General features: G+C 35.5%; 1 protein-coding gene across 6 annotated transcripts in view, besides 1 other annotated feature; it reads right to left on the reverse strand.

The window, feature by feature from the left end:
* Positions 1-16,527, reverse strand: part of ROCK2 (Rho associated coiled-coil containing protein kinase 2) — a 165,679-nt gene that overhangs the window by 21,428 nt on the left and 127,724 nt on the right. For all 6 annotated transcript variants that reach the window (NM_001321643.2, XM_011510417.3, NM_004850.5 and 3 more), the window contains exons 12-22: positions 15,904-15,983; positions 14,972-15,020; positions 14,324-14,459; positions 14,135-14,226; positions 13,654-13,900; positions 13,171-13,277; positions 10,495-10,654; positions 7,101-7,261; positions 6,540-6,724; positions 866-935; positions 124-227 (exon numbers count right to left, since the gene is read on the reverse strand). In NM_001321643.2, coding sequence (NP_001308572.1) covers positions 124-227; positions 866-935; positions 6,540-6,724; positions 7,101-7,261; positions 10,495-10,654; positions 13,171-13,277; positions 13,654-13,900; positions 14,135-14,226; positions 14,324-14,459; positions 14,972-15,020; positions 15,904-15,983 — 1,391 coding nt within the window. The remainder of the gene's footprint in view (positions 1-123; positions 228-865; positions 936-6,539; positions 6,725-7,100; positions 7,262-10,494; positions 10,655-13,170; positions 13,278-13,653; positions 13,901-14,134; positions 14,227-14,323; positions 14,460-14,971; positions 15,021-15,903; positions 15,984-16,527) is intronic.
* Positions 2,317-2,611: a silencer, noted in NCBI's record as "tiled region #13580; HepG2 Repressive non-DNase unmatched - State 17:Gen3'". NCBI's record gives its function as "represses a minimal TATA promoter and a strong SV40 promoter by Sharpr-MPRA in HepG2 cells {active_cell/tissue: HepG2}" and the evidence as "EXISTENCE:reporter gene assay evidence [ECO:0000049][PMID:27701403]".

The following is a 16,527-nucleotide window of genomic DNA, read 5'->3' on the forward strand; positions in this document are numbered from 1 at the left end:
ATGAAGTGAAAGTTTTTGTCTAATTCACTTCATCAATAATTTTTTATTTGGTGATTACCAGGCATTGTTCTAGGAGCAAAGTATACAGCTATGAACAAAAAGAGACAAGGGTCTCATACTTACCGTTCATCCTGTAATTCCTGTTTCTTCTGCTGCAATTCTTTACCAAGTTTGGTCTTTTCTTCACATTCTTCTTTAAGCTCCCTAACTTGTGTTTTATAAAGGGTCTAAATAGCAAAATACAACAGAAATGCGTATCATCATCAGAAATATTACTTCTACATTCAAAAGCTATTCAGACAAAAAGGAGAATGAACACATACAAATATTTTCTTACTGCTAAGTCCCCGAGCAAATGAATAGTTTAATGAACTTTCCTATTTCTAGTCATCAATTAACTAATACAAGTTCAGGTAATAATTAAGAAGCATGATTTTCAACTGGATATCACAGTGATATTTCTCATTTAATAGCACAGATAGGTAAAATGAATAAGGAGGCAAGGAAAAACATTAACAATTTAGACAAAAAAATGTTATTGGCTTAAATCAATAAAACAGGAGTTTCTACTTCATATTTTTAAAACTGATCTCAAAAAAAGCACAACTATTAAAATGATAATTTTATTACAATTTTATTTCTTGCATTATGAAAATATTTTCTTCCTGAAAACAATGCTGTTAATCAGCTTCACCAGGTATGTTTTGTGCTTAGAATTATTTTTCTAGCAATGATAATAAATTTCTCTTAAACTATCTACATTCTTTTGCCCAGCTGCTCTTTTTATATGAGTTGTATGGTATAAATAAAATATCCCAACCAAAACTCTGTTTGCTATTTGCAAATTAATGTGTCTTGAACTTACTGAGAAATACTGTTCTGCTTCGAGCTGATCCTGGAGCTCTTTCATTTGCCCATCTGCATCCTGACGTTCTCTGTGAGGACAATGAATCAAAGGTTTAAATAACTTACACATATTTTAAACGAGCAGCTCTCAAAGTATGGTCTGGGGGAAGCCCTGGGAGTCTCTGAGGTTCTTCCACAGAACCCATAAGGTCAAATCATTTTCATAATACTGAGCACCATGGTTTTTTTTAAAACTCTCATTCCCTCGTTATATACCGTATGTACTTTTCCTGAGGCCACATGACTTGTAATTACATCATTCTGATGGCTAAAATAACGTGTTTGTGTGTTCCTGTGTTTTAAAGTTTTCTCAGTTTTAATTTCTAACACAATACAAATCATTAGATATAACAAACGTAAACAAAAACTCATTTGGAACCCTTGATGATAATAATAATAATAATTATTATTATTTTTGTTTTTGAGACGGAGTCTCACTCTGTCGCCCAGGCTGGAGTGCAGTGGTGCGATCTGGGCTCACTAAAAGTTCCGCCTCCCGGGTTCACGCCATTCGCCTGCCTCAGCCTCCCGAGTAGCTGGGACTACAGGCGCCTGCCACCACACCTGGCTAATTTTTGTATTTTTAGTAGAGACGGGGTTTCACCGTGTTAGCCAGGATGGTCTCGATCTCCTGACCTTGTGATCTGCCCACCTCAGCCTCCCAAAGTGCTGGGATTACAGGCGTGAGCCACTGCACCCGGCAGAACCCTTGATAATTTTTTTAAGAGTATAAAGGGGTTCTGAGACCAGTGTTATACTAAATCAACATTGAATCACACATTCACATACAGACACTGTGATCAGCCATTTATGCCAACAAGTAGAATCCAAAGAGCACCTCAAATCTGGTGATCTCAGTGGGGAGTGCAGAATGCCTGGGAGGGGGCTTCTGGGGAGGCGAGAAGTGCTGGCTTTAGATCTAAACATGGATGGTGGCTGCACAGATTTGTATACTTTGTAAAAATTCACTCAGCTCCACACTTAGTATTTGTGTACTTTTTCTGTATTATGTTAATCTTCAATAAAGGAATAAAATAATAAATAAAATAAAAGCAAGCCCAACAACCCATTTAAGAAGCTGGGTTGAAATGGTACATTAAATTCTGGCCTTATTTTAAAAACATAAAAATTATAGTTATCCGAAACCAAAACTAAGGAGGAATAAAGCAAGTTGGAGAACAATACAATTTGTATGATATAATTTAAAAACAAGCAAAAAATAGAATCAAATGTACAGAAAACTCAACCTCACATATATTTGTTCAGATATATAGATAAAGGCACAGAAAACAGTCTGGAAGGAGAAATAACAAATTGTTGATATGTTACCTCTGGAGAGAGGAAAATGTCTGCATTCATGAAGGAGAGCTTACGTACTGCTTTTTTTTTTAAATGTAGTCAAGTATTTTACAATGGGAAGCTATATGAACACCACTTGGGTATTTTTAAAAACTACAATGCAGGAAGACTCAGAGGGAGCACGTGATTTAACCCTAGTCTCTTCAGTTCGTATACTGCTTAGGAGGTTTATCCTCATTCCCATTTAACATAATTTGGTCACTTTGTTTACTCACTGGCTCTTAAACTTGTGGGTAAAAAGGGAAGTTATGACTCAATGTCACTTAACTGTGTCATTTCTGTATTTTATTGTTGATGAGTATACTGTAGAGAATTCATGATTCTTATTTCTCCATGAGTCAAAGATGTGAGAGATGCAATTTAACAAATATATGAAAGGTCAAGTTTTAAAACTGTCCGATCACTGTCAGCTAAGCCCACTTGTAGCAAACCACAGTATAATTTTAACATCAGGACCTTCTTCAAGAGCTGATATCTTTCATTTATATGTAACTTTTATAACCTAATATTTATTAGGTATTTAAGAAAAGTAATTTTCAGAAAGTATTATTTCAGAAAGAACCATGTAATTACATGATTACAAATGAGGAGTACAGAACAGAAGGAAGAAATTACAATGAGAAGTAGAAGTCTCCTCATTTGACACCTCTCCACCCCTACTAATCCTATTCGCCTAGAAGAAATAACTGTTTCATTTGTGTTTTATCTTTTGGTGGTTACCTCCACATCTCATAAGTTTTAGATATTATTTGCCCATTCCCTGTTGTCAGACTTGAATTTAGCTCTCTTGCCTTCCCCAACCTCTCCCCACCTCCCAATATAGTTGTATCACTCATCTAAGTGGTATAATGAACCCCCCATTTCCCTCTTATAGCAACCACAAACTATAATCTCCCCGGTTTACTAGATGAGAACTCTAACACTCCTATCCTGTCATTGTTTTTGAAATTTCATGAGAATATGTCTAGATATAGATCTTTTTTCATTTATATGCTGAGTCCCTTCAGTCTAAAGACATTTCTCCTTCAGCTAGGGGAAATTCTTCTCTATTATTTCTTTAATTTCCTCCTCTTGGTTTTTAGTTCTTGCTGGAATTCTTATTCGCTGGGTGCTAGATCTCCTAGAACAGTCCCTCTGGGCCTTACTTACGTCTTTCAAACCTTCCATGACATTTCTTCTTTTGTTCTACATTTTAGGAAATTTCTTTGACTTTGAACCCTTCCAACAAATTTATATTGGCAGTAATTATTCATCTTCAAGAGCTCGTTCCTATTCTGGCTGTTCCTTTTACATTGTGTCTGGTTCTCAATTAATGGAAGCAGTATCTCCTGAAATCTTTGATCAATACTAATTACCAGTAGCTTTTTACAGTGCTTTTGTTTTTCCAGAACTTTTAGCAGTTCTCTTCTACTCCTTGATATATGTTTCCTCCGGGGGCACTTTTCCTCTTTCATTATCATAATCTTCCTCTTTCAGATTGCAGGCTTTCCTCAAATGTTTAGTGATACTTGGTTATTTACTTGCAAAGGGGGTGGGAAAAACTTTAATCTCTATGTATGTAGGAGTTTTCTCACTGGCAAGCTTCAGTTTAAGATGAGAGGCTTTAAAAGCCAGCATTAAGCAAAGGGACCCCTAAATGCCAGAGTGAGAAAGGCTTTTCACCCCATATTAGCTGTTCTAATTACCCCAGAGGTTGTACCCAATTACTCTGTAGAGGAGAATGCTCTGATAAAAACCTTAGTGGTGGGAGGTGCCTGGCTGCAGACATATCTGCAAGGTTAATGGTAGAGTATGATCAGCAGATTAGTTCATTTAGTGTCACAACTTACTCCAGGCCTTATTTGCTCTGAATACTTCTTTTCCATCTATATCCCACTTCATGTATACCCCTGGCCTTATATATACTCCTTTCTTCTTTTGTTCTACTTCATCAGTCACAAGGCTTCCATCTAACTGCCATCTCATTCACTAGAGAACCTTCTTGCCCTCCAACCCATTCTCATTCTTATTTATTGTGGGTTTATATATTTTTTAATTCCTTTACTAGAGTTTTTCTGGAATCTTACAAGAAAGAAGAGATATACATGTTGGCCATTTTAAAAAGAAGCCAACATAGCACTTCATATGTAAATTCCCATTGCATGTATTTTTTTTTTTTTTTTACCTTCTATTCACTTATGTACCTGCCTTATCTTCCCCACTGAATAACTAATGATAAAATGCTAGTAAACTTCTCATGGGTAGGAAATGTATTTGGTTAATCTTTCTATCTTTCATAGTAACTACTACAATGCCTTACACCTAAGAGGGATGTAATCATTCATACAACATTTATTGAGGATGTAGTATATGTAAAACCTTAATCAAGGATTGGGGGCCGGGCACAGTGGCTCACACCTGTAATTCCAGTACTTTGGGAGGCAAAGCCAGGCAGATCACCTGAGGTCAGCAGTTCAAGACCACCCTGGCCAACATGGTGAAACCCTATCTCTACTAAAAATACAAAAATAAGCCGGGCATAGTGGTGGGCACCTGTATTCCCAGCTACTTGGGAGGCTGAGGCAGGAGAATTTCTTGAACCCAGGAAGGGAAGGTTGCAGTGAGCTGAGACCACACTATTGCACTCCAACTTGTGCAACAAGAGTGAAACTCCATCTCCAAAAAAAAAAAGGACTGGGGAGAACAAAATATAAATAAATGATTTTTGCCCTTCAATTTTAACCCTACAATGAACACTTCCTCTATAACCCTATTAGGTGGCTAAGATAGAAAACATGGGTGTCTTTGGTGGGGAGAGGTAAGGAAAAGAGGGACTAAGAAATAACAGAACGCCATTCACTTACAAAGAAAATAAGAGGCATATACACTAGGTATAAACAAAGCATTATTAGAAGTGGGAAGGAAACACAACCTAGATGATTAACTAGCTCTTACATCTGCATAAACACTATCGTTAGAATAAAAAGCTGGCCTGAAATAAGAGAGAAAAATAAAGCTAATATACAGAAAAAAAACCCACAAAAAACACAAAGACAAAGATGTCTGATTACTGTTCCAATTTCTAGTTCCAATTTTAAAAGTTTAAATCTCATGAAGTTGAAGGTCTAGGCTTACCCTGGCAATAAATAGATCAGCTCAGCAAAAAGAACAAAGTCTACTTGAATATTTTAAGCATCTTTTCTTAGATAGCATCAGTCTTACTGACCTGTCACAGGTATGCATAAAGCAGACAATTATAATGAGGATACATTAGTAGTAGCTGTAGTAGTTGTAACAGTAACAGATCTAGCAGTAATAGTCCCTAACACTTATCATATGATGGATGCTTTAAATAAACCATTGCTATCCTTTACAAGATCCCTAACAAGGAAGCTATTACTGCTCCCTTTCACAAGTGTGATAAAAGGCTTAGAGAAATTAAATCATTTGCCCGATGTTGGTTAGTTGGTAAGTAACAGAACCAATATTCACAACTCAGTCTGTCTGGATCCAAAGACTTTTTTCTTTCCACTCTATCACACTGTCTTTCATCAAACAACCGGGATCCAATATGACCTTTGGTCATGATTAGGAAGAAGTAATTCTCCTACTAATAGAATAAATGGGACAAATTTTAATAGTATATTTACTATATATTTTATCTTTTTTAGAGTTGAGTTCTTGTTATGCTGTCCAGGATGGCATGTAGTGGCTATTCGCAGGCATGATCACAGTGCAAAGCAATCTCACTTCACCTCAAGTGATTCTCCTGCCTCAGCTCCCCAAGTAGCTGGAACTACAGACGTGCACAATCGTGCCTATAATATTTTTAAAGTATTTTAACAATATGTTCTCCATTTTATAAGTAAATCAAGTAGACACTAGAGTACATCCTATGACATGATTAAAAATTTACATGCTGTTTATTTAACAGTCAAACATTTCCAAGTCTAAGAAACTAAGGAAACAAACAGGCACACGGACAATAAGCTTGAGAAAGAGCCCTGAGGAGGAATCTAAAAGCATGGTATGAAAATCCCAGATATTTTCTTCTGCCTCATCACCAACACTTCCTCTATCATCACATTGTAATTAGGTAGCAGCAGTAAAAACTGTTGGGGAAACGAATATAATCTCGAAGGACAACAGTGACACTCAACACATTACCTGTACAGAAATAAATAGAAAACATGGTCTAGAAAGTAAAATGCTCAAAAGAAAATCCACAGATACACCAAAATTAACTTATACATGGATAATTATGCATATTAAAACATCTCAATCAATTAACTTACTTTCGAAGTTCAGCATTTTGTTTTTCCAAGTTCATTTTCATTTCCATGAGATGGTTATTTTCTTGCTTTAACTGCTTTTCTGACATTTTTAGTGTGTTAACCTGTTGTGTTTGCATCTTCAGGTCATTTTGTGTAAGGCAGCGCTTCTGAGTTTCTTGCTCTATTTTTAATGTCAGGTTTCTAACCTAAGAAATAAATTGTGTACTTGGTATATAAGTAAATTATTTCCATTTTTCTAATCAATGAAGTTGGTATAAAATATGGTGATGTAAAACAGATTTTTTTACCCTTAGGTAGCTAATTCATTTCATACTAAAATTTTTTTTGTATTTCTAATAATATTATAATTGTATTTTTTAAATAAAATATAATAAGGTAAATATAACTTTAAAAATGTTTAAATTATGATTCCTTTAGTATATCATCAAAATTTAGTTAAACCAACAGGTTGCAGACTATTATAAGAAAAACTTTAAAATTATGAAACCATCACTAGACCTTCATGAATAAACCTATTAATTCATTAGTTTATTATTAATCATTAGTACACTTAATACTTACATCCTCATTTAGCACATCTTTCTGTTTAAGGAGCTCATTTATTTTCTGCTGTGACTGTTTGAGGTCACAGTCTAATAGAGAACATCTTTTCTCAGCTTCTAGCAATAGGTTCTCCACTTTCTGTTTTAAAGTTCTTTCCTCCAAGAGCTTCTTCTCCATTTCTAGTATAATAAAAATGGACACAATCATAAATTTACAAATAAAAGAAGCATATCATAAATTTGTAAGTAAAAGCACATTAAATGACACCATACTAATAAAAATTATAATAAATGATGCTGCCTTATATTCTATTAATTTTCTTTTTTTCTTTTCTTTTTTTTTTTTTTGAGACAGAGTCTCACTCTGTTGCCCAGGCCGGAGTGCAGTGACGCAATCTCAGCTCTTTGTAACCTCCTGGATTCAAGCAATTCTCGTGCCTCGGCCTCCAGACATAACTCGGATTACAGGCGTGTGCCACCACACCCAGCTAAGTTTTGTATTTTTAGTAGAGATGGGGTTTTGCCATGTTGGCCAGGCTGGTCTCAAACTCCTGGCCTCATGCAATCCACCCGCCTCGGCCACCCAAAGTGCTGGAATTACAGGCATGAGCCACTGCACCTGGCCTTAATTTTCAATTTAATATTTTCACTTTCATACTTGAAAATTAGGAGTTTCATTCACAGGGTGTAAAAATGTATCACACTCTGCAATATTACATCTATTCTAATGGAAGCAAGATAGTTCTACCTTTATTTATATTCTACAAGATGCTTACATCTTTAAACAAAGGTTTCTTATATTCTACTGCTTACTGCTATTCTATGTCTCTCAGTGTTACTATTTTTACCTTAAAACAATCCAGGTAGATTCTATGATCTCCATAGGACTTTCCATGTTAACACATTATTATGCAGGTGTTGAAAAATATGTTTTAGGGAGGTGGTAAAGGACAAGACTCTGGAACCAAACTTTCTGAGCTTAAACCCTGGGTCTAACACTGTTTGACTGGGCAAGTAATTCACCTCTCTGGACCTGTTTCCTTATCTCCAGAATAGGGATAACAGCACCTAGGGAGGTTGTGAAGATTTAATACATGTGTACCACTTAAATGCTGCCTGGCATATGGCAAGCACTTGGTAAGTGCTTATTATTTAAGCAGAATTTTTAATGACCAAGGAAACGCTCACAATGTCTTGTTTTTTAAAAAGCAAAACGGTATAGAAAGTGGAGAAAATTTACAAAATAGTATCCTAACTCATAGGATTATGAGTAATCTTTGCTTTTTTCTTTATACTTTCCTGTGTTTTCTAAATTATTTACAATAAATTTTTAATCTATTTTACTTATCAGAAGGCAAAGTTCCAAGTGATTTCAGTGTTAAATGTAAGTCATCACAGTTAAAGGATTATCTTGATATACTGGTTAGTACTTCAGTTCACATTCAATTAAGGCTCCTCTGCTTTTTCATAATTAATGCTCAACATCTAATTATCATCTATTATAAAGTTGTATTAGGTAAAAATTAAACCTATGAATATTTAGTGTTTAATGAATGGTCTTCAAAAGTGCAGAAAAATGAAACATTCCCCATGTAGTACTAATAATAGCATTTCTAAACACTTTACATGTTTTATTGCACTTGATTTTCACAACAACGTAACAATACTGTAATTGTCCCTTCACAGGAAACAAGACACAGAAAGTTTAAATAACTAGACAAGGTCACATAGCTAGTAATTATTTGGTGAGCCATGTTCTTAATCCAAGGAGCCAATGACATGCAACAGAAGGACCAAAGGCTTTAGCCTCAGATTTGAAACCATCTATAATATGTAACAGTTTTGTGTACTCATGTGTAAAATATGGAAGTCATCATGTATCTTACATTAGCGTTTTAATAGTTTGAAAAAAATGGTAGTTAATACTGAATTGGTTCATTTTTATCAATTCAGAGAATAATCACTAAACAAATGTCCTCATTTAACAAAAAAAACAATCACCATAATGTAGGCATTGAGAATAGAAAGAGGCATTACTGAGATAATGAAAATAGTCCTTTTTTTTTTTTTGAGATGGGGTCTTGCTCTGCTACTGAGGCTCAAGTGCAGTGATGCAATCATGGCTCACTGCAGCCTTGAACTCCTGGGCTCAAGCAATGTTCCTGCATCATTGCAGGAATACTGAGAGTCCTACTCCCAAGTAGCTCTGACTATAGGCGCACGCGACTACATCCAGCTAATTTTTCTATTTTTTGTAGAGATAGGGTCTTGCTATGTTGCCCATGCCGGTCTCAAACTCCTGGGCTCAAGAGATCCTCCCACCCTGGCCTCCCAAAGTGCTAGGATTACAGATGTGAGCCACCATGCCTAGCCTGATATATTCTTTATCTTGTTTTGAACAGTAGTTATGTGAGCATATCACGAAATGTCAAAAATGTTTACATTTTATTATTGCATGTAAATTATACCTCAATGAAAATAATTGAACTCTGTCTTCTAGGCCACAGACAAGGAAATATGGCCCAGTAACTTTCTCCCTTACAATTAGATTTTTGTAAATAAAGTACTCATTTCATTTCTTATCATCCTGATTTAGTGCCTTAAACTACACTGATTTTTACTAAGAAAATCTACCATTTTAATTACATGCAATAATTAAAAGGCTATTTTTTCTAAGTTAGTTACTCATGTAATGCTTCAATATGAAAATAAATTTCTGTTCAAGAGTTTTAAGCCTTTCACAAGAATAGCTTAAAGTACTGATTTTCTCTGGAATTTCAGAGTCATTATAAACAGTCAGTTTGGAAAAGAAAAAATTATCCTAAGACAATTCCAGGATAAAGTCTAGTTTATGGGAAGGTTAACTTTGTTATCTATTAGTATTATATGGCTTCGACCAAATCTGGCTAGTATCTTCATCATGTTAGAGATCAAAATACTCAGTGAACTTATATTCTAGTTAGACCAGCTATTACTTTTAAATTCTTACCTTGCATAAACTGGCAAGAATTTTATAATACAAAACTCTTGTATTACAAGAATTACCTGTATCAATAGTAACAGGTATACAGCGTGTGAAGTTCAGATATTCCTTCTTACTACTGATACACGTATACCGAGTGGTACAGATATTACCAGGTATATAATATTGAGAAATATTAATTTATCTCTGATCTAAAAATCTGATCATGTAATTTTGTGTTTGGGTCTTACTATCTTAGAAATGATTACTGTAATGATACAAAGGAAAAATAATAGAATATCTATGTAAAGCTTCCCTAATAGTTTTTTTCCCTCCAATTCCCAATATTTGACAATGAAATATAAAAAAAAATGTTTCAAAACCAAAAAGCTAACACAGAATCAATTCTTAGGAAGACGCTGCTGGAAAACCCTCTTTAAAAAATGCATACCTTTCATGGCTTCTGATTTGGCTTCTTCGATGGACTCATAGATCTTATTTTTATCTGCTAGTCGTGCCTTTGTGGCCTTATGTTCAGCTTCTTCTTGTTCTAGGCTCTGCTGTATAACTTTTAGTTGGTATGTCATATCTATTTCCATGTTGCTTTTTTCCTATTAAATATTTAAAATGCAGCTATCAACAAAAAAGAGACTAGCTCACAATTTCAAAAGCTTTCTAATTTTTTTTTTTTTTTGAGACAGAGTCTTGCTCTGTTACCCAGGCTGAAGTGCAGTGGTTTGATTATGGCTCATTGCAGCCTCAACCTCCCCAGGCTCAAGCAATCCTCCCACCTTGGCCTCCAAAGTAGCTGGGACTATAGAAGTTTGTCACCACTCCTGGCTAATTTATTTTATTTTATTTTTAATGTAGAGACAAGGTCTCATTAAACACTGCCTACACTGATCTTGAACTCCTGGGCTCAAGTGATCCTCCCGACTCAGCCTCCCACAGTGCTGAGATTATAGGTGTGGGCCATGGTGCTCAACCTTAACTTGTTTTTTAACAGGCTTAACTAGAATGTTCAGTATTTCCCCTCCCGTCTTCACTCAAACCTTTTAGAATAGTAATCTATATACTCTACTTCTCTACTTCCCACTGTACCCAACAGTCTACACCACCACTCTGCTGTTCTGAGATCTGTATCAAGCTCACTTAATCTCAACAAAAAGACCAATGCTATTCTCAATATCAAATTCTAAAGACCCTTTTCAGTCTTATTTGAACTCACTGCCCCCCTTAAAACTATCCCTTGGCATTGCCGACCTTGTACTTAGTTGGTTCTCTCCATTCTGCTTGCATCCTTTCTGTTGCTCCTGAAGCTTTCCCAGCTGTCCCTTAAATGTTGGTGATCTAAGCCCCAATACTCCTCCTATTTTCTACATAAACCCCAAAGGTTTTCTAATTCTTTGATTTTTATAGTTCATATCATAAATATGATAAAGGCTTTTTTCCAAATAAAGCCTTTCATACAAAAAATGATTTCTCAAACCACATAATCCACCAACAGAGTAATCTACTCTGTCCTAAAAAAGAAAAAAAAAAATCACTACTTCACACAGTCTTTTCCCAGATGGGCTATTCCACTCACATGATTTCAGCTACTTACATACCAATGACTCAAATATTTCTAACTTCTACTACTATAGCCTACTGCAGTGCAGACATGCTAATTTGGCTGTCCCATAGGTACCCTCAAACTTAAGAGGACTAAAGTGGGTTTATCACTGTCTCATGAGCTATTTTTCCTTTATTCTTTATTAACAGCATCACTATATATCTTGTCACAACCTACAAATCTGGGACTCATCTTTGACTGCTACTCATATGCCATATCTAATCAACTATTAAGTGCTGCCAAATATTCCTCTTCCAAATATTTCTGAGTCTTCCAATTTTTCCAACCTTTTAATGGCTGTACTAAGTCTCCCATTATTCCTTATCAGCATTACTGAAAAAGTCTACTGACCAGTCTCTCTACCTCTAGTCTTGTCCTCCTCAAATCTTTTCTCCACACAGTATACAGCGATCTATCTTTAATGTACCTCTAATAAGATCATCCAATTTAAAGCCCTTAAGTGGCTAGCCCATTACTACATTCAAAATTTCTTAATAGAGTATTCGCTATCTTGCATGATCTACCTCATGCCGAGCTCTGTAGCCTCATTCTGACCACTGAATTCCTCATGTCCTTACATAACAACCACATTGTGATCTTCAGGCCAATCTAACCTGATGCCTTTTTCTTTTTTAAGTTTCACTGGAACGTAGCCACATCCATTCCTTCATGAATCACAGCAGGGCTGAACAGTTGCAAGACCATATAACCCACAGAAGATAAAATATTTATTACCATGCCTTTAAACGATTAAAATTTGCTGACTCCCACTCTATACTCCAGAAAACAAACAATGCCTTTTTTATTTTCCATCTTCTATGTCTTTGCTCATGCTGTTCTCCCTAACTTAGAATGTGCCTTTGCCCTACGGACCTATCCTGCTGTCAGGTTAGGGATGCATCCCATACACCCAATACATATACCCTGTCCATAAGTCTTATCATTCTATTTGCCATACTGTCATTAGAATTATCTTTGTGCTTTATTATTACTTTTAAACTTAACTATTCAACTGTGACATTATTCAAGGCAAGGACTGCATCCTGATATTTCTACCACATATAACACACTGAATATTTAGCTGAGTAAATAAATAAGTGAATGAAAATAAAATGCTAACTGCATAGACTCTAGAAATCATCCCTTTCTTAGAGTATTTTAAAAGAAAAACTTCTAAATGCCAAAAGTCATGGTGACTTTATATATGGCATTTTTAAGACATGTTATGAGTCGAAATTTGAGTTTTCCTTGGGTCCTAGAGAGATCCTCATTATCTACACTCCAGGATGGGTCCCCTTACTTCATGAGCAACCAGCATGCTGAGGGCTGCTTGTACAGTGTTATGGTAAGCCTGCAGATACATCTCTTATCTACACATCAAGTCCAAATCAAAAGGAATCCATGAGCATGTGGAAATATTCCAGTTAGTGACTTCCCTTAGTTTAGAATAACTTTTCTAACCTGAAAGTCTACTGTCAATTTTCTTATGCAAAAATATAAAACATGTTTTACCTTTTCCAAATCAGTAAATCTCTCCTGAAGTTGTCTCTTCTCCAGTTCTACTTTCGCTAGTAAGATTTTGCCGTTCTTTAAATCTTCTTCTAGGCCACATATTCTACCTAAAAATTGCAACGTTTTTTTAAAACATTAAACCCACAAAGTATATACATTCAATTAGGAATAAAAAGTTTGCAAGCCACCTTCTATTTTGGAGCTGTTGTTTGTGAGCAGAAGTTTTATACTTGTTGGTATTGTGCTTTATAGTTAATTCAAATGGAATCCAATCTACTACCTGAAGAGTTTAATACTTAAAATCATACTATTTGAAATTAAATCTTTTGTTCCTAAAATTTTGTATCAGTGTATTTCTAATATTCTAACTTTACATAATAGTATATTCAGAAATGTCCAATCCAGCACACTATCCATCATCTAAAGTTATTTTTAAAATAAGAATCATCAAAATTAATTCAAGTGCAACCACGACTTCAATACCTTGTAAATCATTAATTATCTCTGATCCATGGGTTCGATCCCTCCTTTCAGATTCTAGAGCTGACTGAAGATTGATAAATTCCTTTTCAAGTTTTAACTTGGCAGTCTCCAGCAGGCAGTTTTTATCTTGTAGATCTCTATTGTTAGATTCCAGCTGCTGAATCTGTTTTGAACTTTCTGCCTGGGTTTTCCTTAACCGGGCTGCAGTATCAGACTCTGTTCGCAGTAAAGCATTGGTTTCATCCAGCTGTTATTCCATTCAAAACCAAACAACAACAAACAAACACACATGTATGTAATGAAAATAAGTCAATGTATTCCCCCATTAGAAACTATTTAAAATAAACAAAAACCTAAAAATATTTTCCAAATGATTTCTAAAATTAGAGGTAAAGGCCTTTTGCAACACTGTCAATTAAAACTAATGTTATCGCGTTAAAAATAAAACCCAGTATCTTTACTACAAATTAGATCCACCTACTTGTCTCTGGAGTTGATTCACTTTCTCAGTGGATATTTGAGAGTTTTGATTTCTTTTTTTCAAATCTTCAAGTTGATCTTTTAAGCTGTTAACTATGATAAAAAGCATTTCAGTGGCAAGCTTAGCATAACACACATACACACACTTAATTTTTTTCTTGATGAGTAATTAATATTCTACACCACAAACCATCATTTTCCAAATTTCGTTTTTTGTCTGCTTCATGATCAGCTTTCCTCTGATATTCTGCATTTTTGTGCTGAAGAAGCGCCTTTTCTCTTTCTAACTGTCTTAATGCTGATTCCACACTTTTCCGTAAGGTAATCTGAAATAATGCTTAAAGTTATTATCAAAAAAGTATGTATAAAAATGAAATCAAAACAAAAAATACTTGCTATTCCAAACAGATAAAAAAGATCTCAAAAAGGCTTTCACTGCTTTTTTGTTAAAACTGTAATAATGCTTTCTATGATTGTAAACTAGCACACTACTCTTAAATCATAAAGACCGTAAATGTTTTGTTTACTATTCAAACTTCCTGTAAATTTCCACAATTACTGAACTATCATTATTTAATACTTTGGCCTAAAATGTTATGAATAGCATTTTTTTCCCTTGAAATATTTACACATACTGAATTAACTCAAGTTTGCAAAAACATAACAGAATGAAGCCTATTTATAACATGATTTCCCTATAATTTAGTCCTATCCACCAATACTACAAGGTAGGTTTCAAGGCACGTATTACTATGGTACCAAGAGAGCTCCTTAGGTAAGTCAGACATCAAAGATTTTTACTAACAAAAATGTTAATAAAAAAGTGGGGCAACTTTACCTCCTCTTCTAGCTCCTTTGCTGTTTTTTCTAGGCGAGTATTAACAGATCTAAAGAATTTCAGAAAGAAACAGTAAATAACTTCTAATTTACAATAAAACATAGTCTATAAATTTAAAAGTAATTACATAATTACTTGGTAGCTCTCCTTTATTTTTCTGAGACGAAGTCTTGCTCTGTTGCCCAGACTGGAATGCAGTGGCGCAATCTTGGCTCACTACAATGCCTGCCTCCCACGTTCAAGCGACTGTCCTGCCTCAGCCTCCCAAGTAGCTCCCTTGGCCCCTCAAAGTGTTGGGATTACAGGCGTGAGTCACCGCACCCGGCCGTAGCTCTCCATTTCTTTCTTTCTTTTTTCTTTTTTTTTTTTTTGAGACAGAGTCTCGCTCTGTCGCCCAGGCTGGAGTGCAGTGGCGCAATCTCAGCTCACTGCAACCTCAGCCTCCCAGGTTCAAGCGACTGTCCCGCCTCAGCCTCCCAAGTAATTCCCTTGACCTCCCAAAGTGTTGGGATTACAGGTGTGAGCCACTGCACCAGGCCATAGCTCTCCGTTTCTGTTTTTTCTTTTTTTTTCTTTTGTTTCTTTGAGATGGAGTCTTACTCTGTCACCCAGGCTGGACTGCAGTGGCATGATCTCAGCTCACTGCAACCTCTGCCTCCCAGGTTCAAGCAATTCTCTGCCTTGGCCTCCCAGGTAGCTGGGATTACAGGCACCCGCCACCATGCCCAGCTAATTTTTGTATTTTTAGTAGAGACTGGGTTTCGCCATCTTGGCCAGGCTGGTCTTGAACTCCTGACCTCGTGATCCACCCACCTCGGCCTCCCAAAGTGCTGGGATTACAGGTGTGAGCCACCACACCTGGCCGCTCTTTTTTCAGTAAATGTTTAAACTTAAATTTTATAATGTAATATTTAATTATCTACAAAACATACTTGCACTTCTGTTCCAGTTCCTCTTTGGCTTGCATCTCATTGCTAAGATGTTCTTCTAATGTATACAGTTTTTTCTGAATCTGTCAAAAAACAAGAAACTGTAATTACGTATTTTGGTCATATTTAAAGATGAGAGGCTTAAAGAAAACAATGATAAGCTTATTTTGTCTTTCCACTAAACATAATGTCCTCTATAATGGTACAGTATTTGTACCTCCTTAATGTGACTTATATTGATAAAAGGAAAAACTCCCCCATCTCTTGCTTTCTATCAGAGTACACATGTATATATGAAACATACTTATGTAACCATGCATAAGAAGCTCTAACTTTGGCAGAATTGTTCTATGACACAAAGTTTCAAATTCATTATAAAGAATACCACCTCAGATATCTTCTGCTGCTTTTCTATGAATTATTTGCTTGAAAATATTGTCATTATTTGTGCTAGTCGGATAAAAATGAATACATCTAAAACAAATATTCAGAGTACTCAACTGAATATGCTCAAAGTAAAGAATATAAGCTCTTCTTTTATATCTTCCTATGTAGTGCTGGTCATATTACCGAGGAGTAATCAATAACTTTCGAATAAATGATAGCTAATTAATTACAAGCCAGCTC

Source organism: Homo sapiens, chromosome 2 (assembly GCF_000001405.40).
Source record: "Homo sapiens chromosome 2, GRCh38.p14 Primary Assembly".
Classification (NCBI taxonomy): Eukaryota; Metazoa; Chordata; class Mammalia; order Primates; family Hominidae; genus Homo; species Homo sapiens.